Below are 27,817 nucleotides of genomic sequence, written 5' to 3' on the forward strand. Positions count from 1 at the left end.
ACTAGTGGCTCCTAGGGCCGGCTGGGGCTGGCAGGGCCACCCAGCTGTGGGGTGGCAGGCCTGAAGGGAAAGAGAGAAGGAAGCCCAGCCCTGCCCTGAGCTCCTCTATACTCACAGCGCACCAAACGTCCCCATATGGAGCCTAGGACTCGACGTGGGCCATCTCCACCAGCCTCCCCCACCAGGTACCCCATCCTGCGCACCTTCATGTTTGAGACGTTCGTCTGCTTGCTTGAACATTTGTGTATCCATTCATACATTACTCCCTGGCTCCCTGGCGGGTGCGCTGACTGGCTCTCGGGGTCTGATTTACTAAACCCACATTATTGAGCTCCAGCTCTATGCCGGCTTCTAGGAGTCCTTACTGCAGGGCTTTTTCGAGCCCATAGGTCGGGACAGCCCAGGACTGGGCATGGGAGGCTTGGAGTGGCTCTGGGTAGGGGCCCAGCCAGTGCCCTAGGGGACTTCATATACCCTCTCTTCCTTTGCAGGAAACCCCCTCGGCTTCAGGACTTCCGCTGCTTAGCTGTGCTGGGCCGGGGACACTTTGGGAAGGTAGTGGGCTGAAGAGGGTGGTATGGGACGGGATTGGGGGCCTCATCACATGAGCCGGGAGGACCTGATCTGTGGGGGCGGTAAAGGCTCCCTGGTCTGGCCCACCTGGAGCACAACCTCTCTCTGGCCCCAGGTCCTCCTGGTCCAGTTCAAGGGGACAGGGAAATACTACGCCATCAAAGCACTGAAGAAGCAGGAGGTGCTCAGCCGGGACGAGATAGAGAGGTGTGTGGGGGTGCCGCAGGGCACCCAGGATGGCTGGCCTGGGCTGTGGCATCCAGAGGGCAGTTGAAGGTTCCTGGGGCTTTGGAGAGGTGACCCCGTGGGGCCAGCCAGCCTGCATTCTCTTTTGGCACCTGCAGTTGTTAACTGTGTTTCCTTGGGCAGGTCCCCTCTTCTCTCTGTCAGTTTGCTCTACTGTAAAATGGGGGCATTGGTGGCTGTGCACGTTCAGAGCTCCTTGTGAGCCCCTGACATATAGAAACCATCACTCTATGGCCAGGCGTGGTAACTCATGCATGTAACCCCAGCACTTTGGGAGGCCAAGGCAGGCGGATCACTTGAGTCCAGGAGTTCAAGACCAATCTGAATCACATGGTGAAACCCCATCTATAAAAAATAGCCAGACATGGTGGCATGTGCCTTTAGTCCCAGCTACTTGGGAGGGTGAGGTGAGAGGATTGCTTAAGCCCAGGAGGTAGAGGTTATAGTTAGCAGAGATCTCCAGCCTGGGCAACAGAATGAGACCTCATCTAAAAAAACTAATTAAAAAAAAAAAAAGGAGGGGGAGGCTGGGCACAGTGGCTCATGCCTGTAATCCCAGCACTTCAGGAGGCCAAGGTGGGAGGATTGCTTGAGCCCAGGAGTTCGAGGCCAGCCTGGACAACATGGTGAAACCCGCCTCTACAAAAAATACAAAAATTAGCTGGGCGTGGTGGTGCACACCCAGCTACTCGTGAAGCTGTGGTGGGAGGATCACTTGAACCTCAGTGGCGGAGGCTGCAGTGAGCCGAGATCGCACCACATCACTCCAGCCTGGGCAAGAAAGTGAGACCCTGTCTCAAAAAAAAAAAAAAAAAAGGCTGGGCGCACTGGCTCACACTTGTAATCCCAGCATTCTGGAAGGCCGAAGCAGGTGGATAACTTGAGGCCAAGAGTTCGAGACCAGCCTGGGCAACACAGCGAAACCCTGCGTCTACTAAAAATACAAAAATTAGCTGGGCGTGGTGGCGCACTCCTATAATCCCAGCTACTCGGGAGGCTGAGGCACAAAAATCTCTTGAACCCGGGAGGCAGAGGTTGCAATGAGCTGAGATCACACCACAGCACTCCAGCCCAGGCGACAGAGCAAGACTGTGTCTCAAAAAAAAAAAAAAAATGAAAAGAAACCATCAGTCTACTTGCCTGGCACTTTGGCTGAGGGCCCAGTGAGCCAGGGGTGTTGTGCAGGGCACAGGGCACAGCCCAGGGAAAGTTTTCCTTCCCTCTAATACTCTTGCTCTCTCCTGTAGCCTGTACTGCGAGAAGCGGATCCTGGAGGCTGTGGGCTGCACAGGGCACCCTTTCCTGCTCTCCCTCCTTGCCTGCTTCCAGACCTCCAGCCATGCCTGCTTTGTGACTGAGTTTGTGCCTGGTGGTGACCTCATGATGCAGATCCACGAGGATGTCTTCCCCGAGCCCCAGGCCCGGTGGGTTCCATCCCTCCTGCCTGCCTCTTCCAGCAAACTTTGCCTGGTTCCCTACACCCACTCTCTACATACTGCTTTCTCCAAGTGCCCAACAGCAGGGGAGCAGGAGTCAGAGGCCTTGGTTTACATCCTGGCACCAACTGACAGCATTTGTGATCCTGGGTATCAGCTTATGAAGCTGTGCATTAGGTTTCTTTTTTTTTTTTTTTTTTTTTTTTTTGTGAGACAGAGTCTGGCTCTTATTGCCCAGGCTGGAGTGCAATGGCATGATCTCGGCTCACCACAACCTCCGCCTCCCTGGTTCAAGCCATTCTCCTGCCTCAGCCTCCTGAGTAGCTGGGATTACAGGCATGCACCACCACTCCTGTCTAATTTTGTATTTTTAGTAGAGACGAGGTTTCTCCATGTTGGTCAGGTTGGTCTCTAACTCCTGACCTCAAGTGATCCGCCCACCTCGGCCTTCCAAAGTGCTGAGATTACAGGCGTGAGCCACCACACCTGGTGAGTCTCAGATCTTTATTTGAAAAATAGGCATGATTGGCCGGGCACCTGTAATCCCAGCACTTTGGAGGCTGAGGCGGGTGGATCACCTGAGGTCAGGAGTTCGTGACCTGGCCAACATGGTAAAATCTTGTCTCTACTAAAAATACAAAAATTAGCTAGGCATGGTGGCACACGCCTGTAATCCTAGCTACTTGAGAGGCTAAGGCAGGAGAATCGCTTGAACCCAGGAGGCGGAGGTTGGAGTGAGCCGAGATCCCGCCACTTCGGTCTGGCGACAGAGTGAGACTCCATCTAAAAAAAAAAAAAAAAAGGCCGGGCACGTTGGTTCATGCCTGTAATCCCCACACTTTGGGAGGCTGAGGCGTGTGGATCATGAGGTCAAGAGATCAAGACCATCCTGGCCAACATGGTGAAACCCTATCTCTATAAAAACTAAAAAAAAAAAAAAAAAAAAAAAATTAGCTGGGCGTGGTGGCGCGTGCCTGTAGTCTCAGCTACTTGGGAGGCTGAGGCAGGAGAATTGCTTGAACCCAGGAGGTGGAGGTTGCAGTGAGCCGAGATCGCACCGCTGCACTGCAGCCTGGGTGACAGAGTGAGACTCCGTCTCAAAAAAAAAAAAAATAGGCATGATGAATATCCACTGCAGGGACCAACACTTGGTCCCTGGCACCATTTAAGGGCCCATGAAGGGTGAGCTGGAAATGCACGCAACCTTGGGGCGACCTTGGGACTATTGGAGCACCCCCACCCTCAGCATGATGCTTGTCCCAGTCTCACTCATCTCTGACTCTGGCCGGGACATCCGGGATCCCCCCGCTATGGCCATCCTGGTGCCTCCCTGCCCTGCCTCCCTGGTGTGTGTCTTGGGCCTGAGTTCTCCCATAACCACCCCTGCAGCTTCTACGTGGCTTGTGTTGTCCTGGGGCTGCAGTTCTTACACGAGAAGAAGATCATTTACAGGTGACTTTTGTCCCAGGGATGCACGGGGGTAGGGGTGGGGGTGGGGGTGGAGTGGGTAAGGACAGATGCTGCCTCCGCCTGCCTGGGCTGCTCCAGGGGCCGTTACTGTTCCCTGGGTCTAAGCCCCACTCAGTCCCTTTGATCTGCACCCTTGCCCTCAGGGACCTGAAGTTGGATAACCTTCTGCTGGATGCCCAGGGATTCCTGAAGATCGCAGACTTTGGACTCTGCAAGGAAGGTGGGGGCCGCCCATTGGGATCCATATCTCCAGCCTTGTTTACCCACCCTGGCCAATAGGATGATGGGCACATGGCATGTCCCAGGAAATCTCCTCACCTGCGGATGCCCTGGTTCCACCACCCCAGACCTCATTCCAGGGGACAGCTGGGCACACTGGCCCTTTCTTCCTAGTCCTAGAGGCTCGTAGCCCCAGCCTGCACCTGGCCCAAGGGAGAGCCTGTGGTCAGGGATGGGAGAGGAGACTGAGTTCTGCCTTCTGTTTTTTTTTTGGTTTGTTTTTTTTTTTGAGACGGAGTCTTGCTGTGCCGCCCAGGATGCAATGCAGTGGTGCAGTCTCGGCTCACTGCAGCCTCCACCTACTGGGTTCAAGCGATTCTCTTGCCTCAGCAGCCCAAGTAGCTGGGACTACAAGCGAGCACCACCACACCTGGCTAATTTTTGTATTTTTTTAGTAGAGACGGGGTTTCACTGTGTTAGCGAGGATGGTCTCGATCTCCTGACCTCATGATCCACCCACCTTGGCCGCCCAAAGTGCTGGGATTACAGGCGTGAGCCACTGCGCCCGGCTTCTTTTTTTTTTGAGATGGAGTCTTGCCCTGTTGCCCAGGCTGGAGTGCAATGGCGCAATCTCGGCTCACTGCAACCTCTGCCTCCAAGGTTCAAGAGATTCTCCTGCCTCAGCCTCCCGAGTACCTGCGATTACAGGCACATGCCACCACACCCAGCTTATTTTTTGTATTTTTAGTAGAGACGGGGTTTCACCATGTTGGCCAGGCTGGTCTCGAACTCCTGACCTCATGATCTGCCCACCTCGGCCTCCCAAAGTGCTGGGATTACAGGTGTGAGCCACCGCACCCAGCCGAGTTCTGCCTTCTGTGACCTTAGCCTGTGAGCTTGGCTCTGCATGCAGTCAAATGGCGTCATAACCATTCCCACTTCCTTGGGTACAGGGCAGGGCTTGGCACAGGCTCAGCTCCCTGGCATCATAAGGCTTGGCTATTGAAGTTATTGTGAATAGGCCACACCAAGCAGCTATTGGTGTGCCTGTTGGTTTGCAGGGATCGGCTTCGGGGACCGGACTAGCACCTTCTGTGGCACCCCGGAGTTCCTGGCTCCCGAGGTGCTGACCCAGGAGGCATACACACGGGCTGTGGACTGGTGGGGGCTGGGTGTGCTGCTCTACGAGATGCTGGTGGGTGAGGTGAGTGCTGGAGCCTGTTTCCTGGGCCTCTGGGTGGGGGTGGGGTGGCCCGTGCATCCTGCTGAGCCCCCATCTCCACAGTGCCCGTTCCCAGGGGACACAGAGGAAGAGGTGTTTGACTGCATCGTCAACATGGACGCCCCCTACCCCGGCTTTCTGTCGGTGCAAGGGCTTGAGTTCATTCAGAAGGTAAGCACTGCGGGGTCTGGGGCTGGGCTGGATGGCCGCTCAAGGCCCATGTGCCCTCTGCCGTGGGACAGCAGACCCCCTGCCACCCATCCTTAGAGCGCTCTGGGCCAGCGTGCTTGGGGCCTGTGGATGATGGCAGTGCCTGGGGCTGAATGCCCTAAGTGAGCGCCTGTCCTATTGCCCAGCTCCTCCAGAAGTGCCCGGAGAAGCGCCTCGGGGCAGGTGAGCAGGATGCCGAGGAGATCAAGGTCCAGCCATTCTTCAGGGTGAGCGGCTGGGGTGGCGGTGGTCCCCTGTGCCTGGCAGGGTAGGTGGCATGGAGTGACTCCTGGAGCTGCTGTTCCTGCCGTCTCAGGCGCCTCTCCTTTGCCCTCAGACCACCAACTGGCAAGCCCTGCTCGCCCGCACCATCCAGCCCCCCTTCGTGCCTACCCTGTGTGGCCCTGCGGACCTGCGCTACTTTGAGGGCGAGTTCACAGGGCTGCCGCCTGCCCTGACCCCACCTGCACCCCACAGCCTCCTCACTGCCCGCCAACAGGCCGCCTTCCGGGACTTCGACTTTGTGTCAGAGCGATTCCTGGAACCCTGAGGGCATCTCCTGGCACCTCTGTCCCCTTCCCCCACAGACTGTTAGAGCCTCTGCTCGTTCACCCGTGCGCCCTGCCTGGAGGTCCAGGCCTTGCTGGGTACTTCTGAGCCCTTGGGATTCAAAGTGGCAGCCATGGGGCCACTGTTGTGGGCTTTGCTCAGTGTCACTGGGCAAAGTGTGTCCCTTCCCCCTCCAGCTCGCCCTCTTCTACCTCCCAGCGAGACCTGGCCCAGAAAGGGTGCCGCAGCAAGGAGTGATATGGTTTGTCTTTTTAAGACTGGACTTGCTTTATATTAAATTTGTAAAAGTGTGCACTGGCAGCAGCCTGGGCGGGGCTGGGGTGGAGCCCGGGGTCTGCTTGGGCCTGAGCCACCCACAGGTCCTTTTCTTCCCCTTCTTCCTTGGAAGGCAGAACTGCCCACCAAGGCAGGGATCTGTCTGACTTGAAGCTCCGTTCTGGGGTCTGGGAGGCGTGGGCAGGAGTGAGGGCCCCAGGCCCTCTGAGCGCTCACCCCAGCTGGGGACAGGCCCCGTGGTTTTCAGGCACAAGACGGTAGCCCGGCCTCCAGCAACCCTAAACAGCTGGGCTGCTGCCCTCTTCCTCCTCCTCAGCCCAGAGGGTCTCCCAGGACCCTGAGGGCCATCCACAGAAGAAGTGGGCCAGGTTGCGGGTCAGGCCTCGGTCGAAGGGGTTGCTGGGGCGCTGGCGGAGATAGGCGATGCGGTGTGAGGAGATGAATTCCCAGGTGGTGGTGTTGCTGGCCACCAGGTAGAGGTGCGAGACGAGGAGCAGGCTGGCCACCAACGAGAAGAGGGACAGCAGCAGGAAGGTGGCGAACAGGAGCCCGCTGGACCGCAACCACTGACCCCAGGGCTGGAAGAACCGGAGGCCTGACCTGCGGTGCAGGGGACAGGGGCCTGGTGCTGGGGGAGGGCAGGGGAGCCCTTCCCTCCCCATGCCGGGTCCCTGGGAGTCCTGGCTCTGTCCACCCCTGTGGGAGCATTCATCCCACCCTCCCTCTACACCCGGGCAGCAGCACCCACCATGCCAGGTACAGGCCCCACAGAAGCACCACCAGCTGCAGCGCCAGGTAGACCACAAAGAGTGGGTGGTTGCGCTCTCCCACACAGTTCTCCATCCAGGGGCAGTGGTGGTCGTAGCGGCGGACGCAACGGCGGCACTCACGGCAGTGCCGAGCCCTCAGGGGCTGCTGTGGGCATGGAGGAGAGTGGAGGCTCAGTGCCAGCCCTGCTGTGGGCCCACCACTGAGGGAAGGAATCAGGGCCTGATTCTGGAAGGCCTTCTTGGAGGAGGGGCGAGGCCCAGGCAGTGGGGCAGGAGGAGGTCGAGGAGTCTCAGCTTTGGCCCAACCTCTCCCACGGGTGTCCGTGCATCACTCACCAGCACCAGGCAGTATCTGCAGCGCCGAAGAGGGATGGCTGGAGGAACCATGGCTGTCTGCTCCTCTTTGAGCTCCTCCTGGAATGAGGGGTGGGGTGTAAGACAGGGTCCCCTTGGGAGACAGATGGCATTGGCGGGCAGCTCCCCTAGGGGCCGGCTTAGCTCTGGGTATGGAGTTTGGGACCCATCCCATGCAGAATGGAGGTGTGGGGTATGGCGGAGCACCCTGGACTGAGGGCGGCTGTGTATGTTTGCAAGTCTCTTCCTTCTCTGGGGCCCAGCAGTTTCCTCACTACTGTAGATGGGGCTCTAGGGGTGGCAAGAGGAGTCACTGAACTGCTCCCACAAGAGCCTGCAGCACAGAGCCTGGCATGGAGACTGGTGCTGGTTGTTAGGTCCCTGTTGGTGAGAGTAGGGGCCCCTGGTTACCTGAGGCTGGGGCTGCACATTCACGTAGCCAGGGTCCATGAGTGACACAGCGAGGTAGAGCAGCAGGGAGCCCAGCACCAGGAGCAGGAAGGTGAGGGGCAGGAGCAGCTCCCCCTGCTCCTCCCATTGCCGCAGCTCTGGAGAGGCCGGAGAGCACAGTGAGGCTGGGCCGGGTAGAACAGGAGTGGGTGGGGTTGGGGTGCAGTTGGAGGTGGGGAAGTGTGTTCCTGGCTGAGCAAAGGCCTGGAGATGTTGGTTCCATGAGTGGCTGTGTGTGGCCAGCAGTTCATCTGCACTTTTATCTGGAGGGTCAGAGGGAACCATGGAAGGTTATAGAGCCAGATCTGTTTTGGAAAACCTCATTGCTAAAGAAATGGATCAGGGGAAGCCTGGGGGCAGAGAATCTGGCCAGGAGGAAGAAGAGAGTCGCTACAAAGGCCTGGCAGGAAGTGAGGGAGGAAGGAATGGACAGGGGGCTGCTGGGTCAAGGGAGCCAGACCTGACTGGATGTGGGAGAGAGGGAAGAGGGGTCCAGCGTCTCTGGCTCTGCAATGGTGAGAGACTGGTTAGGTCTGAAATGCCTGAGAGAGATACAGTGGGAAGGGTGCAGCTGGCAGGCTCAGATGCTGCAGAGGGGCATACGGAAGGGTCCAGCAGGCTTCAGCCCAGGGAGGTGACAGGATTTTGGGGAGGTAGGGTGCAGGGCAAGGAGTGAGGGGGCATGAGACCACCAGACAGCAGAGTGTAGACAAATCCTGTGTCCCTTGGTTGTAAGGGGGAGCAGAGAAGAAAGGGTGGGTTTTGAGGGGGGTTTTCTGATACGGAGACCTGAGCAAGTTTTTAGGCTAAAGGGTGAAGGTGGTGGAGGAGGTCTGTCTTGGGAGGAAAGCCAGAAGGGGCCCCAGTCCAGAAACTGAGGCTGGACCGCCATGGAAGGAGGGCTGGGGTCTGCTGTGGGGGACAGTGGGGGAGGCTGCCTGTGGCAGGTGAGGCGCTGGGTAGGGGGCTACTAAGAGGAATGAGGGAAATGGAGGTGGGTGGGTGGGTGAATCTGTGGGAAGATGGGAGACAGGCCGCACCCCATGGAGTGTTCTCTGGCCTGAGGGTTTGCCTGGACTTGGGCAGCTAGTGGCCATGGGGGTGTGGGGGGTGTGGGTGTGGGCAGAATGCCAATCTTTGCATCTAGTTGAGCCTCCTAATCGTATGGATAGGAAGATTTGGGGTCAGTTCCTGGGAAGGATCATGTGGGTCCCAGGATCAGGGGACATGGGGCTCAAGTCGGTCCTTGGATCTGGTGGGCACCGGCTGGGTCCTGGGATGGACAGGGCATTTGGCAATGATCAGGAAGATGCTGGGATTAATTAGGGATCAACGGGGTATCAGACAGAGAGCAGGTGGCTCTTGGAATGATAGATGGGGAGAGGGCTTCAGGAGCTGGTGGAGATCGGGCCAATCCCAGGATCTCCAGGGATTAGGCGGGAGACCCAGTGTGACCAGAACGTCTGGGGAAGTACGCGGGATCGGGTGGGTCCGGGGTCGCTCGGGGTCCGGCTCACCGGTATCGTGCAGGAAGAGCACCAGCGTGATTCCCCAGGTCAGCACGGTGTGCCCGGTCCGCACCAGGACCCCAGGGCTGAGGAGCGCCCAGGGCGCCATCGCCTCGGCCCGGGGCCCCACCCGGAAGAAGCGCCCAGAGGGGCGGGCCCTCCGAGGGAGGGGAACGCCGCCGCCCGGGGACTGGTGGATCTAGGCGTTGGGCGGGGCCGGACTGGGTCAGGGAGGCTGCCTATTGGATGGCATCTGCGGCCGAATGGACCCTCAAGCCAACAGGTGCCTGAAGAGGCTGAGGGTGGGGCCGGCGCGCGCGCAGCTGGTAACTCCCTCAACTCCAGCCCCACCCGCCAGGTAACTTTTGAAAGCGCCGGAGCGCGCGCGCACCTCCCCCGCGCTCCGCTGTGCCCTCCCCCGCGTTCCCCTGTGCCCGCCCTCGCAGCCTCGCGCATGCGCGTAGCTCCCTGGGCGCTTCGAAGATCCAGCGGCTTGCTGTGAGTCCGGGAGGCAAAATTGTACCCATTTCAAAGATGTGATGACTAAAGTCTCGAGAGGGCCAAGGCTCGCCCAAGGTTGCTCTGTGGTGACAGCTTTACCTCCTTGCTATGTATTCTCAGATATTGCAAACGGACGAGAGAAAAGTGGAGGTACGTGGTGCACATTCTGACTATGGGTGATCCAACTTAGGCGGGAGTCAGAAATCCCAGCACTGCCCCTTCCTACCTGTGTGACCCTGGGCGAGTTACTGAGCCCCTCTGAGCTGTTTTCTGTCTCTATAAGGGGGATTACAATAGTGTCTTCCTCCTAAGGTGTTTGGGAGGATTAAATAATGGAAGCGCCTTGTCTAGCACGGGACTGTCTTGCCTCTCCTGCTGTGAGCCACCACCTACAGGCGGACTTTCCTCACCGGAGGCTGCAGGCTGTCCTCCTTCCCTGTGTCCCCAGGGCCTTCTCCACTCAGCCCCGCCTTTCCACAGCACCTCCCACTGATACCAGCATCCTCCTCCGCCTCCCTCTGATTGGCCCCATCCCAGCTCCTCCAGGATACTCCTCTGACATCTGTTGTTTTTCTCAGCTCAACATCCTTTTTTTGGTTGGGGAATCGACTTCCCATCCCATGTGATTGGAGGGACTGCCCCTCACCCCATAGGATGGCGAGCGGCAGGCTGTGGGCTTTCGACTCTGCAGAACCAATCACAGGCCTTCCATGAGATTACTGTCTAGATGCTGAGAGGAAGGAGCATTCTTTTGGATCTCAAGCCTAAGGAATGGGATATAAGGCAACTGGGAGCCGTCTTTACGCTGGGCGGAGAGGGCTTACCCTGTCTGTGGCTGGAGAAAATGAGACCAACTTATAAAGACACATAGAGATGGATAAGCAGCACTAAAGGAGGGAGCAAGAGATGGTCTGAACAACATTGTCTGAGCCCTCTAGATCCGGCTGTCCCTGAAGCTGATACTGACTCTGCATCCCCTGGTTGCAAGAGTCAATGAATGCCCACCTTTTTTTTTTTTTTTTTTTTGAGACAGAGCCTCACTCTGTTGCCTAGGCTGGAGTGCAGTGGCGCGATCTGGGCTCACTGCAACCTCCACCTCCCAAGTTCAAGTGATTCTCCTGCCTCAGCCTCCCAAGTAGCTGGGGTTACAGGCACATGCCACCACGCCCAGCTAATTTTTGTATTTTTAGTAGAGACAGGGTTTCACTATGTTGTCCAGGCTGGTCTCGAATTCCTGACTTCAAGTGATCTGCCTAACTCAGCCTCTCAAAGTGCTGGGATTACAGGTGTGAGCCACCATGCCTGGCCCCAATTCCCACCTTTGACTAGCCTGAGTAGATGTTTGAGTTGGGTGTCTGTCATTTGCAGCTAAGTCTTGACTACTGCACTGGGTGCAGGATCTGATGTGCTCAGTGGGGACATCCAGCACATTATCCACTCAGCACATAATTCTGAAGCTTCCGTGGGTTAGGCACTGTGCTAGTATCAAACATCCCAACACTAGTTCAAATAGTAAGGCCAGATTTTAATTAACAATATACTACTGATAGGGCGGAGAGCCCAGTGTGAACCAACTGAAACTTCTGTTTGTGCAGAGGTGACTGATGTTTTTTGTGGTTTTGGTTTTCTGCTTTCTTGAGATGGGGTCTCGCTATGGCCTCAAACTCCTGACCTGAGGCAATCTTCCCCCTCAGCCTCCAGAGTAGCTGGGACTGCAGGCGTGCTCCACCATGTCTGGCTTAAAGGGAGAATGAGGGAGTGGAGGGAAACGGTGAGGGCTTCAGCAGAATAAGGGAAATGAAAAATTCCAAAGGGTTGGTCATGGTAAATGTGATTAGGCAGCTCCGCGTGCTCGCTGGCAATGGTGAAAGTTAGGACTCTGTTCTCCTGCAGAGACTGGGAGACAGAGGCTCTGTCCTTCCTGATATTACATTTCAATAGAATGGCCTTCAGGTCCTTGAAAAAGACACTTCTGAGTTGTAGGAGATACACACTCATCTCAAATGGACAGAGGAAGGATCACAATTGTAAGTTCCCATCCCACCACACTTTTTTTTTTTTTTTTGAGACGGAGTTTCGCTCTTGTTGCCCAGGCTGGAATGCAATGGCGGGCTCTCGGCTCACTGCAACCTCTGCCTCCCAGGTTCAAGCGATTCTCCTGCCTCAGCCTCCCAAGTAGCTGGGATTACAGGCACCCGCCACCATGCCCAGCGAATTTTGTATTTTTAGTAGAGATGGGGATTCTCCATGTTGGTCAGGCTGGGCTCAAACTCCCGACCTCAGATGACCCGCCCGCCTTGGCCTCCCAGAGTGCTGGGATTACAGGCGTGAGCCACTGTGCCCAGCACTTTTTTTTTTTTTTGAGAGGGAGTTTCGTACTGTTTCCCTGGTGTGATCTGAGGCTCACTGCAACCTCCGCCTCCTGGGTTCAAGCAATTCTCCTGCCTTAGCTTCCAAAGTAGCTGGGATTACAGGCACGTGCCACCACGCCTGGCTAATTTTTTAAAAATTCTTAGTAGACACAGGATTTCACCATGTTGGCCAGGGTGGCCTTGAACTCCTTACCTTGTGATCCGCCTGCCTCGGCCTCCCAAAGTGCTGGGATTACAAGTGTGAACCACTGTGCCCGGCCAGAGGTCACATTTCTTAGGGAGACTCAGTAAAATGGCTTTATGGTTTAGACATCAGTCTATTTTGGAGAGGTAGGTCATGTTTGAAGGTGCTGAGCGGCAAAATTAGTTTCTTTTTTTTTTTCTCTCCAACTTTTATTTTAAGTTCAGGGGTACATGTGTAGGATGTGCAGGTTTGTTACATAGGTAAACATGTGCCACTGTGGTTTGCTGCACAGCTCATCCCGTCACCTAGGTTTTTGTTTTTGTTCGTTTGTTTTTGCAATGGAGTCTTGCTCTGTTGCCTGGGCTGGACTGCAATAGCACGATCTCAGCTCACTGTGACCTCTGCCTCCTGGGTTCAAGTGATTCTCCTGCCGCAGCCTCCCGAGTAGCTGGGATTACAGGTGTGCACCACCACACCCAGCTAATTTTTGTATTTTTAGTAGAGACGGGGTTTCACCATTTTGGCCAGGATGGTCTCAAACTCCTGACCTCAAGGGATCCGCCCACCCTGGCCTCCCAAAGTCCTGAGATTACAGGCTGAGCCACTGTACCCAGCCTGGCCACAGGTTTTTAAAAGGAGAGCCCTCCATGTGCCAGGTTTTGTGCTGGGCTACAGCAGAGCCTTGATGTGGCTTGTTGCTCACAGTCCAGTGGGGGAGACGAGACAAGGCAATTTCAGCCCCATGAGATAAGTAGGTGCTGTGATGGGATGAGCAGGAACTAGAGTGTTCCTGACACAGGAAATGGCAAGTATCAGGCCAGCGAGCTAGAGGAGGAGCACCTGGCACATCTGAGGATCTTGTTTTCCCTCCTTTACTGTGGCAACCTTGAGGTAATAAGTCATGTCAGGCCAGGTATGGTGGCATATGCCTGTAATCTCAACACTGTGGGTGGCTGGAGTGGGAGGATTGCTTGAGCCCAGGAATTTGAGACCAACCTGGGCAACACAGTGAGACCCCATTTCTACAAAAAAACAAAAATTAGATGTGCATGGAGGTGCACGTTTGTTGTCCCAGCTACTTGGGAGGCTGAGGTGCAAGGATTGCTTGAGCCCAGGAGGTCGAAGCTGCAATGAGCTGTGATCGTGCCATTGCACTCAGCCTGGGCAACAGTGAGACCTTGTCTGAAAAAAATAAAAAGTAAAGTCACTTCACCTCTCTGAGCCTCAGTGTCCTTGTCTGTGAAATGGATTATTGCCAGGGTTCTGAGGAAGCGGAAGGTACATGAAGCACTTAGCCCGGGGCCTGGGACACAGAATAAGGTTCAGCAGTGTTGGCTGCTGCTGGCAGGCACTGCCCTCATTCCCTCCGAGGCACAGACGACCCACCAGGGTTCTGAGGCAAACCACTTGATGCCCTTCCTGCCCAGGTCCTGTGGGTGGCCAGTGGCAGGGGGCTGTCAGCCAGGGGAGAGAGAGGCCAGGTCCAGGCCCTGCAGGGGGTGGAGAAGAGGGGACCTCGGCTTCACAGAGGCTGTGGGAGGAGTCAGTGCTCAGCTTCCAGAAATGCTTAATTGGGTCCTGATGCCCAGGCTTAAAACCTCACATAAAGGGTAAAATCCACACACTCACGGTGGCCTATAAAGGGTGTGACCGTATCATTTCTTTTTTGTTTTTTGAGACGGAGTCTCGCTCTGTCACCCAGGCTGGAGTGCAGTGGCACCATCTGTGCTCACTGCAAGCTCTGCCTCCTGGGTTCACACCATTCTCCTGTCTCAGCCTCTCAAGTAGCTAGGACTACCGGTGCCGGCCGCCTAGCGCAGCTAATTTTTTTGTATCTTTTAGTAGAGACGGGGTTTCACCATGTTAGCCAGGATGGTCTTGATCGCCTGACCTCGTGATCCACCTCGGCCTCCCAAAGTGCTGGGATTACAGGCGTGAGCCACCGCACCCAGCCCACCATATCATTTCTTATTCCAACCAGGCAGCTCTTAAGGATGACAAGGCACTGTTGATAGACGTGCGGGGACCACAGGTGTCAGCCAGGACGGCCCTGGGCCATGCTAGAGTCTGGGCACCTCACAATTTGGCACCAGCGACTTCCTGGTCCCCTCCCACTCTACCCTTGTTCCTCACGCTGCCAGGGCCACATGGGGCTGCTTCTCTGTCCACCCTGGCGGGACCCTCTGCTGAGGATGCACTTTTCCTCAGCCCCTCGGGCCAGGCCTGGGCAACCTCCTTCTTTTCCCTGGGTTTGGCTCCACTCTGTCCTCTTGTAAGAAGCCTCCCAGACACATGGGGACATCGTGCTGGCTCCTCCCCCTCTCCCCAAAGCACTGTGGCCCAGCGGACTCCAAGCTTCCCTGATCCGCCTGCCCACTCCCATCCACTGGCAGGAGGCACCTCCTCCGCTGCCTTCTCCCTGATGGTGGCACAGAGTTGTAATCTTCTATTTGCCATCTGTCTCCCCCATCAGGCTGAGCCATCTTAGGCAGGCACCCTGTTGGTCTGGTTGCCAGCTGTGTCCTCAGTGGGCACAGGGATGTGAAGAGAACACATAGGAAACAGGTACTCCAGCTCAGTCCCCTGCCACCTGTCCCCAGCCTGCAGCCCTTTAACCCACCAAACGCACCCCTCCCTACCACAGAACTACCTACACTGCAGCCCCCCTGCCAGGGGTGGCTCAAGCCCTGCTCCAGAGCCTGGAAGCCAGGCTAGCAATCCCCTCCACAAAAAAAGACGCTCTGTTTTCCATTTTGCACAAAAATGTATTTCTGTGACTTCCCAAAGTACAGACATTTCCCCAGGCCCCAGGGGGTAAAGCAATGAGGTGTGAAGTCTGCCAGGGTCTGGCCGGGGCCGCTGAGCGTGGGAAGGAAGGGAGCGCCGCATGCAGCCCATCTGCCAAGCTGGGGGAACACAGGGCTGCGCCCACTTCCCAGGGCCGGGAGGGAGAGGCTCCAGGAGAAAAAGGCCAGGTGTCTCTCCCAAAGCTGCTCACCCCTGCCGTCCTGCCTGGAGGCAGAAATGCTAGGAACACCTGAAAACAGGCCCGCGGGAGGAAAAGGGAAGAAAAAGCCATCACCCAAAGGCTGCCTCCAGGGTTAGCGCTGCTCCCCAGGCCCCTGCGCTCCACAAGTGTCCGATGAGAAGCAATGCAGTGTCCATCGATGGAGGAGCAAGAGAGCCGGCGCCTCTCAGGCTTCCAAGGTAAAGCCTAGGGCAGGGCGGGACCGCCAGGGAGGCCCAAGCGGCCACTGCAGGGCAGTCCGAGTGCTGGTCTGGAGGCGGCTGTGTGGCCGTTGTGGGTCAAAGGCTGTCATGGGACCTCTGCCTCTGAGAGGCGTGGGGTCCTCTGGGCAGCGGGGCAGGCTGGGAGGAGGAGGCAGGCTCAGTTCTGCTGGTGGGAGCGCCTGGGCAGTTGAGGGCTATGGAGCGAGGAAGCAAGCCCCTGGCCCCAGAAGATGCTAGCTTCCAGGGCTGAGGGCAGGTTCTGGATGTGTTTGGCAGAAGGGGCAGTGGAATCTGCCCCTGAGTTCTGACCATCCCTGGGCTGGGGCTTTCCACAGCCTGGGACCTGGTGGGAGACTAGGAGGCAGCCTCCATAGCAGCGTGGCCTCAGGCAGGCCTGGCTGGACAGCAGCAGGGCCACTGGGTGCCCTGCTCCTAGAGGGTCTTCAGGGGCAGGGCTGCCTGGACCTCAGCCTAGGAATGGCTCACTTTCCTGCCCCAGATGGCCCACAGCCGGGAGCACCAAGGCTTTTGGGAGACCCAGTGGGGTAAGTTCTAATCCCCAAACCCCATCAGCTGTGCCCGGGAGCCGAGATGGCGTTCTCAGGCAGGGGCAGTGGGTCAGGATGCTCGATACGCTGTCCAAGGCCTGCTCCTCTCATGAAAGGAAGCCAGGCCGGGATCTGAGTTTCCTGGACAAGGACTGGACACTCACAGCGTTATAGGCATTTAGTCTGGTTGGGGTAGGAGTGTGTGTGTCAGCGATGAAGGCTGAGTGGGTTTGAGAATGGCCAAGGAAGCTGCAAGGACTCAGGAGTGTTGCTTTTGTTTTTGCACAGAAATCATACACACAAAACTTCACACTTCCTAACCAAAAAAAAAATATATATATATAATATATATATATCTCACTAACATTAAGGAAAAGCGTCGGTTGTGCAAAAGTCCCCCATGTCTCTTCACTCCGTGGGAGGCTCCCTCGGAAGGGGCCCGCCCGCTGGGCTGCTTGAGCATGCTTCCTCCCCGCCTGTGGTCCAGAGCGGTGGCGGCCATGGGGACGGAGGCCTCTATCTAGACGTGTCCATGTTCTCCTCTTTAAAGTTACTGCAGTGCTCAATCACCTTGCTGGAGACAATGGGGGAGACAGGATTGGAGGGTGGGCTTGGGTGGGGGTGAGCCCAGCCCCTCCGAGATCATTAGGCAGCTGGGTAAACACGTGTTCATAGTGATGGTGATGCTGACCGAATGATGTGGACAGAGGGGCTGGCAGAGTGGCTGGCATGTGCAGGGGACTCAGGGAATGGCACCTGTGGCCGTGAATGCCATCACCAGCCATCCTCCGCTTCCTTCCTTTCCATGCCCCTCTTCTCCCACCCCCAGTCCCAGGGCATCTGTGGATAGGGGGTCCCCAAATCAGCTCAGGCCCGACCTCCAAAACCCTTTGGAAGTTTCTTTAGCGACCTCTTCTTCATTTTCCCTGCACACTAGACCCTTCTCTTTCCAGAAGTCCACCAGTGGTCCCCAAACTGACTGCACATCAGATTCCCCTAGAGGCCCGGATCCAGTGGCAGGTCCAGGGTCGGGCAGGGGCAGCTGTGCTCGCACAAGGGCCCCCACTACCCTGTGGCAGCCAGGGCTCAGCACTCCAGCTCAGATTTCGAGTCTCGCCCGCCCCAGCCTGACCCCTGCCACCCATCACTGTTGGTTGTCACCTTGGACCCCGGACAGCTTGCCCATTCAACACCAAGCCTGTGGTTTGGGGGCTTCACTGCAGCCTCTGTGTGTTAAAGGGATGCCCCAATACCTTTTAGGAAACAAATACCCAGAGTGGGAGAGAGGTCAGTGGACAGGCCGAGGGCCTTCTCCTAAGCATTGTCCAGGGTCATTTACTCCTTGCTGTCAGACAGGCCAGTGCCTCAGATTCCCATCACAGGCCTTGGAGAAATGTTCAAAGTGACTGTGGTAGGTAACTGGTCAGTCTTACCCAGTGCTTCTCAAATTTCCCGGGAATCCTTGTTAACCATGAAAATTCCAGGGCCACCTCCCACCTCCCGGATGTACTGGAAAAGAAAACCTAGGGGTGGGCCCCGTCCATTTATTTTTAAATTTTATTTTTTTGAGACAGAGTCTCGCTCTGTTGACCAGGCTGGAGTGCAGTGGCACCATCTCGGCTCACTGCAACCTCTGCCTCCTGGATTCAAGTGATTCTCCTGCCTCAGCCTCCCAAGTGGCTGGGATTACAGGCACGTACCACCACGCCGAGCTAATTTTTGTATTTTTAGTAGAGACGGGGTTTTACCATGTTAGCCAGGTCTCGAACTCCTGACCTCAAGTGATGCACCCACCTCAGCCTCCCAAAGTGCTAGGATTACAGGTGTGAGCCACTTCGCCTGGCCAGTAGCGCCTTTGGCCAGATATAATAGCAGAACCAGCTGACACTTCCCTCCCCTGGCCCAGGAAGTGGCTGGCTGAGGAGCCTCTGAGTTTCAGGCCCCTCCTCCATGTGAACTTTTGCTCTATACAGAGCCATGAAAAAGTGTGCTCGGGTCAGCTTGACTGTTCTCCCTTCTAGAATGAATCCTGGAGAAAACAAGGTCGTTCGACGATTTCGACACGTCGCATCCCTGAGAGTCTCTCGTGTCCTGATCAACTCGAGAACTGGAGGCGGTGACATTTTAGATGCTGCAGTGAAAGCCACAGAGCCACGGAAGGCCGAGACTCCACCATGTTTGTGATCTTCACATTCAGCAAACTCACTCGCACTCTGCCTCATCTTATCTCTAGAATGTATTTTACCACACTGTGTCCCTTCTTTAGTGGGAATGTCTTTGGCCAAAAATAATGAATAGTTCTGACCTGACTTGCTAATACCCAGTGATAAAAGGATGGAATTTGTTGGGAATAAAAGAAAACTAAGCTTACAAACGAGGGCCCTGATGCTCCGTTCCGAGCTTGGTCATCTAATTTCCAGCCACAATGTGGTCGAGATGACATTTGGAGAGGCCCCAGGTGGACATCAATACACTGTCAACCTCCATACTCAACTCTAAGCTGTCCCTGGGAATTTCAGCCATTCCTAACCTCCAGAGGGCGCCCGCTATGCCCTTACTCCCCTAAACCAAGGTTCCAGGCAGAAACACACTGCTGGTCTCTTACCGGGCCATTTCCTTGGTCTCCTGCCGTGCGGTCGCCATCTTAATTATGTCCCTCAGAAGGGGCATCCCCCCTTCTTTGATCAGCAGAGGGCAGTACTTGTCCGCTGTGGGATAGGAGCAGACAGCAGAGGATCAGGATGGGTCTTCTTATCAGCCCGAGGCCCAGAAACCCACCCTGTCTGTGAGGACTATCCTGGTGTCGGGGGTGTGAAGGCACAGCCCTTGGTGGGGGCAGTGCTAGAAATGGGGGCAAGACGTGGGCCCAGCCCCATGGGTGGGAGTTCTGCGTCCATGTAGGGGAGGCAAGAGGTGACTCCTTGGTTTGAAGTTGCTGCATTTATTTCCAGAGCTCATTCTTTTTTTTAAAAAAAAATTATATATATATATATATAAAATATATAATCTTAAAATATATATATATATGGCCGGGCACGGTGGCTCACGCCTGTAATCCCAGCACTTTGGGAGGCCGAGACGGGCGGATCACGAGGTCAGGAGATCGAGACCATCCTGGCTAACACGGTGAAACCCCGTCTCTACTAAAAATACAAAAATTAGCCAGGCATGGTGGCGGGCGCCTGTAGTCCCAGCTACACGGGAGGCTGAGGCAGGAGAATGGCGTGAACCCGGGAGGCGGAGCTTGCAGTGAGTCGAGATCGCGCCACTGCACTCCAGCCTGGGCGACAGAGCAAAACTCCGTCTCAAAAAAAAAAAAAAAAAATATATATATATATATATAAAATCTTAAAAAAAATATATATATATATATAATAGATATAATTTTTTTTTTGAGACAGAGTCTCACTCTGTCACCCAGGCTGGAGTGCAGTGGCACGATCTGAGCTCACTGCAACCTCTGCCTCCTGGGTTCAAACGATTATTTTGTCTCAGCCTCCCTAGTAGCTGGGACTACAGGCACGTGCCATCAAGCCCAGCTAATTTTTGTATTTTTAGTAGAGACGGGGTTTCACTATGTTGGCCAGGGTGGTCTCAAACTCTTGGCCTCAAATGATCTGCCCGTCTCAGCCTCCCAATGTGCTAGGATTACAGGCATGAGCCACTGCACCCGGACTAATTTTTTTTTTTTTAAGTAGAGACAGGGTTGCGCTGTGTTGCCTGTGCTGGTCTCAACCTCTTGGGCTCAAACAATCCTCCCACCTCAGCCTCCCTAAGTGCTGGGATTACAGGTGTGAGCCACTATGCCTGGCCTCCAGCGCTCATTCTATGGAAGATGTCACCCAAACCAGTGAAACCAGTGGCTCCTAAAGATGGTGATCCTTTGAGGAATTTCTGTAAAAATATAGATTTCTAAGCCCTGTCTCTGGATATTCTTTTTCAACAAATCCAAGGACTAAGATTTATCTGTATTTTTACCAGGTGATTCTGGTGACCTGCCAGGTTGGAACCAGCTGATGGTATGTGTTTTTTTTTTTTTTCATGCAGACAGCATGGAGACTTTTATTTTACTTCTGGAGATGGGGGTCTCACTATGTTGCTCAGGCCGGAGTGCAATGGCTATTCACAGGCATGATCATAGGTCATTGCAGCTGGAAACTCCAGACCTCAGGCAATTCTCCTGTCTCGGCCTCCTGAATAGCTGGTGTGCACCACTGAGCCCAGCAGGCATGGAGATTTTGGACTGTTCCTGCACATGGAAGCGGGAAGCATTAAGAAAGCTGTCTAGGAACTCTGCACAGGTATTTCGCCTGCCAGGCCTGCTTCTGGTGATGAGGCAGGAGTGAGCCCTTAAGCTGGGTGTCCCACAAACGCTGGAAAGTGGAGGGTTCTGCTCTGAGGCACAAAAGCTGACAGCAGCAATTAATGCCCCCCTCCTGGACTACAAACTCCCTGAGGGCACATCTGCTTTCAGCTGGATGAGTGTCTGAACCCAGGACAAGTTGGCACTCACGGTAGACAGACACGAGGTTATACAGGGCCCAGGTTGCCCAGTGCTGGCTGACAGGAGAGATTCCCTGGGGAAGGAGGCGGAGAATTGGTTCAAATGACCTGCAGGAAAAGAAATCAAGGTCACTGTGGATGCTGAGGGTGGGGAGTGTGTCTTTTCTTGTCTGAGGTTTCCTCCCACTGGAGAATCCTAGTGACCAACCATGATAGGCTGGCAGGATGCCAGGGAGAAGGGACAGCTGGCCCTGCATCCCACTGGCAGGCTGCACAACAAGGTTCCCTTGGAGAGGATAAAGGCACAAGCACATGAGGGAGGCACAAGGGACCCAGATTAGGAGGAGCAGAAAGCTGGAGACCTCAGCAAGGAGCAGAGACCCAGCCTGTGGGGAAGAGGGGAGAGGCACCCTGGGAACAGAAGCACGTGTGACCTGGTTTTTTTTTTTTTTTTTTTTTTTTTTTTTTTTGTGAGACGGAGTTTCGCTCTGTTGCCCAGGCTGGGGTGCACTGGTGCAATCTCCACTCACTGCAACCTCTGCCTCCTGGGTTCAAGCGATTCTCCTGCCTCAGCCTCCTGAGTAACTGAGACTACAGGGGTGTGCCACCACACCCAGCTAATTTTTGCATTTTTTTTTCTTTTGAGACAGAGTCTTGCTCTGTCGCTCAGGCTGGAGTGCAGTGGCATGATCTCGGCTCACTGCAAGCTCCGCCTCCCTGGTTCACGCCATTCTCCTGCCTCAGCCTCCCGAGTAGCTGGGACTACAGGCGCCTACCACCAAACCCGGCTAATTTTTTTGTATTTTTTAGTAGAGACGGGGTTTCACCGTGTTAGCCAGGATGGTCTCGATCTCCTGACCTCGTGATCCACCCACCTCAGCCTCCCAGAGTGCTGGGATTATAGGCGTGAGCCACCGCGCCCGGCCTAAATTTTGTATTTTTGGTAGAGACAGGGTTTCACTATGTTGGCCAGGTTGGTTTCGAACTCCTGACCTCAAGTGATCCACCTGCCTTGGCCTCCCAAAGTGCTGGGATTATAGGCGTGAACCACCATGTCCAGCCCTTTTTTCTTTGTTTTTTTTTTTTTTGAGACGGAGTCTCACTCTGTCGCCCAGGCTGGAGTTCAGTGGTGCAATCTCGGCTCACTGCAACCTCTGCCTCCTGGGTTCACATGATTCTCCTGCCTCAGCCTCCCGAGTAGCTGGGACTACAGGTGCATGCCACCATGCCCAGCTAATTTTTGGTTAGAGCATCATTTTGCTGTTGGCCAGGCTGGTCTTGAACTCCTGACCACCCGCCTTGGCCTCCCAAAGTGCTAGGATTACAGGCGTGAGCCACCATGCCTGGCCTTTTTTTTTTTTTTTTTGGAGAAAGGGTCTCGCTCTGCTGCCCAGGCTGGAGTGCAGTGGCATGATCACAGCTCACTGCAGCCTTGACCTTCCAGGCCATGCAAGTGTTCCTCCCACCTCAGCCTCCTGAGGAGCTGGGACTATAGGTGTGAGCCACCATGCCTGGCTAATTAAAAAAAAATTTTTTTTGGCCAGGTGCAATGGCTCACACCTGTAATCCTAGCACTTTGGGAGGCTGAGGGGGGTGGATTGCCTGAGCTCAGGAGTTTGAGACCAACCTGGGCAACACAGTGAAACCCCGTCTCCACTAAAGTACAAAAAATTAGTTGAGCATGGTAACGTGCACCTGTAATCCCAGCTACTCGGGAGGCTGAGACAGGAGAATCGCTTGAACCTGGGAGACGGGGGTTGCAGTGAGCCAAGATCACACCATTGCACTCCAGCCTGGGTGACAGTGCGAGACTCCGTCTCAAAAAAAAAATTTTTTTTTTTGTAGAGGTGAGGGCTCACTATATTGCCCAGGCTGGTTTCAAACTCCTGAGCTCAAGTGATCTTCCTGCCTTGGCCTCCCAAAGTGGCTGGGATTCTAGGTGTGAGCCACCGCATCCGGCCTGTGACTGCTCTTCTGACGAGGGCCTTCTGTGGGCCAGCCTGGAGTCATGGTCCAAAAGCCTGAAACACGTGTGTGCAAAACTCCTGGGCCAGCGATTCCGCTTCCTTTCTCCCCAAGAACTATAGTACTTGGCACACTGGCAACGCTACCAATGTCAGCCTGTTCCTCCCAGTATGGGTTTTCAACTGAAATGTCCATCTGTACAGGATGGCACAAAGAAAGTGACTCCGTCCTAAAATGACGAGGGAGATCCATGCCTGGTGATTGGCCAGTCAGTCACAAAACAGTAGGAATTGATGCCAGCTTGACTTAAAGTAATGAAATCTGTGCATAGAAACACTGCTGGAAGGAGACACACCAAAATGTCAACAGGAGTTCTCTTTCAGGGAGTGAGATTATGAACGATTCTTGTTTTCTTCTTCTTCTTTTTTTTTTGAGATGGAGTATCACTCTGTTGCCCAGGCTGGAGTGCAGTGGCGAGTTCTTGGCTCACTGCAACCTCTGCCTTCCAGGTTCAAGTGATTCTCCTGCCTCAGCCTCCCAAGTAGCTGGGATTACAGGTGCCCACCACCATGCCTGGCTAATTTTTGTATTTTTAGCAGAGATGGGGTTTCACTGTGTTGGCCAGGCTGGTTTCGAACTCCTGACCTCAGGTGATCCGCCTGCCTCAGCCTCCCAAAGTGCTGGGATTACAGGTGTGAGCCACTGTGCCCGGCCCTGTTTTGTTTTCTTGTTTTTTTTATTCATTTTTATTTTTATTTTTATTTATTTATTTTTGAGACGGAGTCTCGCTCTGTCGCCCAGGCTGGAGTGCAGTGGCGCGATCTTGGCTAACTGCAAGCTCCGCCTCCCAGGTTCACGCCATTCTCCTGCCTCAGCCTCCCGAGTAGCTGGGACTACAGGCGCATGCCACCACGCCCGGCTAATTTTTTGTATTTTTAGTAGAGGTGGGGTTTCACTGCGTTAGCCAAGATGGTCTCGATTTCCTGACCTCATGATCTGCCCGCCTCTGCCTCCCAAAGTGCTGGGATTACAGGTGTGAGCCACTGTGCCCGGCCCTGTTTTGTTTTCTTGTTTTTTTAATTTATTTTTATTTTTATTTTTATTTATTTATTTTTGAGACGGAGTCTCGCTCTGTCGCCCAGGCTGGAGTGCAGTGGCGCGATCTCGGCTAACTGCAAGCTCCGCCTCCCAGGTTCACACCATTCTCCTGCCTCAGCCTCCCGAGTAGCTGGGACTACAGGCGCATGCCACCACGCCCGGCTAATTTTTTGTATTTTTAGTAGAGGTGGGGTTTCACTGCGTTAGCCAAGATGGTCTCGATTTCCTGACCTCATGATCCGCCCGCCTCTGCCTCCCAAAGTGCTGGGATTACGGGTGTGAGCCACCGCGCCTGACCTTCTTCTTTTTTTTAAAGAAATGGTCTCATTCTGTCCCCTAGGCTGGAGTGCAGTAGCATGATGTTGGCTCACTACAGCCTCGACCTCCTGGGCTCAAGTGACCCTCCTGCCTCAGCCTCCCCAGTAGGTGGGACTACAGGTGTGCACCATCACACCCAGCTCATTTTTTTTTTTTTTTTTTTTTGAGATGGAGTCTTGGTCTGTTGCCCAGGCTGGAATGCAGTGGCGCCATCTCGGTTCACTGCAACCTCTGCCTCCTGGGTTCAAGCGATTCTCCTGCCTCAGCCTCCTGAGTAGCTGGGATTACAGGTATGTGCCACCACGCCAGGTTAATTTTTGTATTTTTAGTAGGGACGGGGTTTCACCATGTTGGGCAGGCTGGTCTTGAACTCCTGACCTCGTGATCTGCCCGCCTCAGCCTCCTAAAGTGCTATGATTACAGGCGTGAACCACTGCACCTGGCCTGATTTTTAAAATTTTTCGTAAAGAGGAAGTCTCACTATGTTGCCCAAGCTGGTCTTGAAATCTTGGGCTCAGCTGGACGCAGTGGCTCATGCCTGTAATCCCAGCACTTTGGGAGGCCGACGTGGGCGGATCACGAGGTCAGGAGATCGAAACTATCCTGGCTAACACGGTGAAAACTCGTCTCTACTAAAAATACAAAAAAATTAACCGGGCGTGGTGGCGGGTGCCTGTAATCCCAGCTACTCTGAGGCTGAGGCAGGAAAATGGCGTGAACCCAGGAGGCAGAGCTTGCAGTCAGCTGAGATTGCACCACTGCACTCCAGCCTGGGCGACAGAGCAAGACTCTGTCTCAAAAAAAAAAAAAAAAGAAAAGAAAGGAAATCTTGGGCTCAAGTGATCCTCCTGTCTCAGCTTCCCAAAGTGCTGGGATTATGGGCAAGAGCTACTGTGCCCGGCCCACCTGTATGGTTTTCTGTTGTGTGTCTATTTTCTCCCCACCCCTCCCCACAAATCAGTAGGTATTAGTGGTTTGCAAAGAGCAGGCTTTGGGTACATGCAGATGTTGGCATGTATGACAAATGCTCCAGGCTGCACGGATGAGATCGTGCCCTTATGTATGCTCTGTGCTGTGTGCGGCTACGTATCAATGAGTGAAAGCAGAACCCTACAGAAGACCAGAAGGAAGGTGGGAGCTCTGAGCAGACCTTAATGGTATGAGCATCCTGCCCAGCACTTACCCCATATTCCACACCGCATCCCCGCTCCCTGCCCTGCCCACACCTGTAATTGATGTTTCTCCGAGAGTTTATGTCCCAGCTCTGGATGGCAGCCCACATGCGTTCCTCCACCTCCTCACGCTGGGGCTCACAGACGCCCCAGGCCTCGGGTCCATCAAACATGATGTGGGAGAGGACGCCGCAGGCATTGTAGGAAACCTCGATCCCATCGGCCTTGCTCTCCAACAGGTTGCTGCCAGGAGAAAGACAGAAAAATGGAGTCCCACTCCCCCAGTTTCTCTTCAGATACCAGCGGCAGGACCCCAACTTAAAACCAGAAGCAAGAGGTGCTACTTATTTCTTTATCCCATATCGTCTATATACCCAGACTACTTCTAAAGGGATTTGAGGTCATTTAAGATATAATTACAGGCTGGGCGCAGTGGCTCACGCCTGTAATCCCAGCACTTTGGGAGGTCAAGGCAGGTGGATCACGAGGTCCGGAGATCGAGACCATCCTGGCTAACATGGTGAAACCCCATCTCTACTAAAAATACAAAAAAATTAGCTGGGCGTGGTGGCAGGCGCCTGTAGTCTCAGCTACTCGGGAGGCTGAGGCAGGAGAATGGCGTGAACCCGGGAGGCAGAGCTTGCAGTGAGCCTAGATTGTGCCACTGCACTTCAGCCTGGGTGACAGAGCAAGACTCCATCTCAAAAAAAAAAAAAAAGATATAATTACAAAAGGACCACTTACGAAGGATTGAATGAATAAGAAACCACATTATCGAGGGAAAATGACATTTATAGCAAACCTAGGCTAAGAGCAGTTGTGCAACTGAGCAAACGCTAGAGCTCTGAGCATTGTGGCAGCTAAGGCAAAAAGGGAAAGGATTAAAAATACCAACCTGAAGACGCTGATGAACTGGGAAGTCATTAGTTGAGGCCTCAGCTCCTTCACTTCTGCCACATTCCCCAAAAGTCCTAGCATATTCCTATGCAGTTCCTGCTTCTCTGGGAATTCCTGGGAAAAGGAGAGCCAATGGGCCGCATCAATTAGTACTTAATGACTTAGTATCTGGTATTGTTAACCAAAAAGCTTCATGGGCATCTGGCCATGCCAACTAGACAAAGAGGGGGCATATATGCTGCCCTCCTACCCTCCAATGCTCCTAGGTCAGTGCTGGGTACACACACTAAGGAATTAAAGGGGTGGGATTGCTTGCCACAAAGACAAAGGTTGATTAGAGATCTGACCTATGGGACAGACGTGGTTCTGTTCACCAAAGCTCAAAATACTAGTTTAAGGGACCCTCCTAGAAATTAAAGCAGGAAAACAGAGCATGTGTTTAAGGATGAACAGACCCGCTGTCCAGCTCGTAGCGTAGTGGGCTCTGGCCAGCTGTGGGCAGCCTGAGAACAACGGCCGAGGAGACAGGGAGGGGCTTTCCCTGGGAGTGGGGGCTCTCAGGAGGCCCCACCAGGCCATCTGGGTCTGGAGCTTCTGTCAGCAGCAAATCCTGGGTGGGTGGGCCTGAGTCTGTCCCCACTGCCCTTCTCCAGGAAGCATGGGTGAGGGGTGCTGCGGATTTGGTTGGTGGGGAGCCTAGGGACAGAAGAGGGGCCATGTGGGCAGCTGAGGCAGCTGCTGCTGCAGGAGGTGGACACTACCTTCAGGCAGTCCAGGAAGAGCTTCATGCCGTTGAAATTGAGGAACATCTCGCAGTTGTCAGGAGTTTCATCTGTGATGTTCCACAGGGCACTCCAGGAGAACTCCATGACCTGGTCACACTGTGAGGGCAGGGCAGGGCTCAGCCAAGGCTCCTGGTACCCGGGGAGGGGGGCCCCTGACAAAACACAGACCTCCCCCAGGGGCAGCCCAGGCCCCTTGCGAGGTGGGGAAAGGGTAGCGTGGCTTCGTGAAGACTTGACTTACTGTCTTGTCCAGCAGCTTCTTCTGAATCAGCTTCAGCATGGTCTGCAGGCAGGGACAAGAGTCTGCTAGAGTGCTGGGGCTGAAGAACTCCCACCCCCACGAACCCAAGATGGAGGGGAGGCTCAGCAACGCCATGGCTAGTTCAGGAGTCTTGACGAGATCAAGTCTCCCTATATTTGGGGGAGGCTATTTGAAGGCATCCACGCCTCAGCCCCTTGGTATTGGCATTAGCAGGCCCGGGTGCCGTTCCTGGCCCTCGGGTGACTCCCCTGTGACTTTGGGCACAGCCCTTCCCGCTGGGGCTTGAGCTTCGCTGCCATCAAATGAGACCAGAAGCTCTTGAGCTCCTTTGTCATTCTTTCCTTCCTTTCACCAGTGATATTTATCATCTCCCCACTGGCCTCCAGGGCCCATGCCAAGAAGTGCTGGGGACACAATGACGGAAGGACAGCATGGCATCTTTCCCTACAGAGCTTATGAAAGCAGGATGAGCGCAGGGACTGGGACAGGATGACAGCATGCTCTAGGTGGAAGAAATCTATGAGGGCATCAGCAACATTCAGCATTAAGAAATTCTTCCTTTGGTCTAGCCTAAATCCCTCATGCTTCAGCACACTCTCCCTCTCCGACTCCCAGCCCCAGGCCCTGCTCTGAGACTCTCGCTCAGGGTAGAGGGGTGGGGGAGAGCAGTGAGGCTC

At 54.7% G+C, this 27,817-nt stretch overlaps 3 protein-coding genes and 1 long non-coding RNA gene across 24 annotated transcripts in view, besides 5 other annotated features; 2 read left to right on the plus strand and 2 right to left on the minus strand.

The window, feature by feature from the left end:
• PKN3 (protein kinase N3) overlaps positions 1-6,236 on the plus strand; it is an 18,414-nt gene extending 12,178 nt beyond the window's left edge. For 6 of the 8 annotated variants that reach the window (XM_017014650.2, NM_013355.5, XM_047423278.1 and 3 more), the window contains exons 13-22: positions 118-185; positions 492-555; positions 689-780; positions 2,067-2,243; positions 3,645-3,707; positions 3,869-3,945; positions 5,006-5,148; positions 5,230-5,337; positions 5,523-5,603; positions 5,714-6,236. In XM_017014650.2, the coding sequence (XP_016870139.1) occupies positions 118-185; positions 492-555; positions 689-780; positions 2,067-2,243; positions 3,645-3,707; positions 3,869-3,945; positions 5,006-5,148; positions 5,230-5,337; positions 5,523-5,603; positions 5,714-5,926 (1,086 nt within the window). In that variant the 3' untranslated portion in view covers positions 5,927-6,236. The remainder of the gene's footprint in view (positions 1-117; positions 186-491; positions 556-688; positions 781-2,066; positions 2,244-3,644; positions 3,708-3,868; positions 3,946-5,005; positions 5,149-5,229; positions 5,338-5,522; positions 5,604-5,713) is intronic. The other 2 variants (NM_001317926.2, XM_017014649.3) reach the window with 1 other exon arrangement.
• On the minus strand, positions 6,193-9,447 carry ZDHHC12 (zDHHC palmitoyltransferase 12). Of its 6 annotated transcripts, none has more exons than NM_001318023.2 (5): positions 9,314-9,447; positions 7,758-7,894; positions 7,329-7,406; positions 6,971-7,134; positions 6,193-6,822 (listed from the first exon to the last, which is right to left on the minus strand). In NM_001318023.2, exons 1-5 carry the CDS (start codon positions 9,411-9,413, stop codon positions 6,501-6,503), a joined length of 801 nt encoding a protein of 266 aa, NP_001304952.2. In that variant the 5' UTR covers positions 9,414-9,447; the 3' UTR covers positions 6,193-6,500. The 6 variants fall into 6 exon arrangements, with proteins under 6 accessions (NP_001304952.2, NP_001304949.2, NP_116188.3 ...); NM_001318020.2 differs by having other exon boundaries at positions 6,193-6,800; positions 6,971-7,137; NM_032799.5 differs by having other exon boundaries at positions 6,971-7,137.
• Positions 9,336-9,815: a silencer, noted in NCBI's record as "silent region_20350". NCBI's record gives its function as "represses an Ori minimal core promoter by ATAC-STARR-seq in GM12878 lymphoblastoid cells {active_cell/tissue: GM12878}" and the evidence as "EXISTENCE:reporter gene assay evidence [ECO:0000049][PMID:35858748]".
• On the plus strand, positions 9,782-18,563 carry ZDHHC12-DT (ZDHHC12 divergent transcript). The gene is made up of 2 exons (NR_046240.1): positions 9,782-9,955; positions 18,162-18,563. It is a non-coding gene; the product is annotated as a ZDHHC12 divergent transcript (long non-coding RNA).
• Positions 14,056-14,887: an enhancer, noted in NCBI's record as "H3K27ac-H3K4me1 hESC enhancer chr9:131491015-131491846 (GRCh37/hg19 assembly coordinates)". NCBI's record gives its function as "activates a minimal SCP1, AML or CMV promoter by ChIP-STARR-seq in primed H9 embryonic stem cells {active_cell/tissue: H9 hESC(primed)}" and the evidence as "EXISTENCE:reporter gene assay evidence [ECO:0000049][PMID:30033119]".
• Positions 14,888-15,719: an enhancer, noted in NCBI's record as "H3K27ac-H3K4me1 hESC enhancer chr9:131491847-131492678 (GRCh37/hg19 assembly coordinates)". NCBI's record gives its function as "activates a minimal SCP1, AML or CMV promoter by ChIP-STARR-seq in primed H9 embryonic stem cells {active_cell/tissue: H9 hESC(primed)}" and the evidence as "EXISTENCE:reporter gene assay evidence [ECO:0000049][PMID:30033119]".
• ZER1 (zyg-11 related cell cycle regulator) overlaps positions 15,106-27,817 on the minus strand; it is a 42,701-nt gene continuing 29,989 nt past the window's right edge. For 8 of the 9 annotated variants that reach the window (XM_017014188.2, NM_001375956.1, NM_001375958.1 and 5 more), the window contains exons 10-16: positions 27,120-27,161; positions 26,855-26,974; positions 26,092-26,207; positions 25,251-25,439; positions 20,654-20,751; positions 18,746-18,848; positions 15,106-16,714 (exon numbers count right to left, since the gene is read on the minus strand). In XM_017014188.2, the coding sequence (XP_016869677.1) occupies positions 16,657-16,714; positions 18,746-18,848; positions 20,654-20,751; positions 25,251-25,439; positions 26,092-26,207; positions 26,855-26,974; positions 27,120-27,161 (726 nt within the window). In that variant the 3' untranslated portion in view covers positions 15,106-16,656. The remainder of the gene's footprint in view (positions 16,715-18,745; positions 18,849-20,653; positions 20,752-25,250; positions 25,440-26,091; positions 26,208-26,854; positions 26,975-27,119; positions 27,162-27,817) is intronic. The other variant, NM_001375959.1, reaches the window with a different exon arrangement.
• Positions 17,513-18,013: an enhancer, noted in NCBI's record as "H3K27ac hESC enhancer chr9:131494472-131494972 (GRCh37/hg19 assembly coordinates)". NCBI's record gives its function as "activates a minimal SCP1, AML or CMV promoter by ChIP-STARR-seq in naive H9 embryonic stem cells {active_cell/tissue: H9 hESC(naive)}" and the evidence as "EXISTENCE:reporter gene assay evidence [ECO:0000049][PMID:30033119]".
• Positions 18,014-18,514: an enhancer, noted in NCBI's record as "H3K27ac hESC enhancer chr9:131494973-131495473 (GRCh37/hg19 assembly coordinates)". NCBI's record gives its function as "activates a minimal SCP1, AML or CMV promoter by ChIP-STARR-seq in naive H9 embryonic stem cells {active_cell/tissue: H9 hESC(naive)}" and the evidence as "EXISTENCE:reporter gene assay evidence [ECO:0000049][PMID:30033119]".

This window comes from Homo sapiens, chromosome 9, assembly GCF_000001405.40.
Source record: "Homo sapiens chromosome 9, GRCh38.p14 Primary Assembly".
In the NCBI taxonomy this organism is placed as follows: Eukaryota; Metazoa; Chordata; class Mammalia; order Primates; family Hominidae; genus Homo; species Homo sapiens.

Coding starts and splice junctions, on each gene's coding strand:
- ZDHHC12 (NM_001318015.2), bottom strand. CDS start 9,413: ATGGCGCCCTGGGCGCTCCTCAGCCCTGGGGTCCTGGTGCGGACCGGG. Junction 7,407..7,757: donor ATGTGCAGCCCCAGCCTCAG/GTAACCAGGGGC, acceptor CCCTCATTCCAG/GAGGAGCTCAAAGAGGAGCA. Junction 7,138..7,328: donor GCAGATACTGCCTGGTGCTG/GTGAGTGATGCA, acceptor CCATGCCCACAG/CAGCCCCTGAGGGCTCGGCA.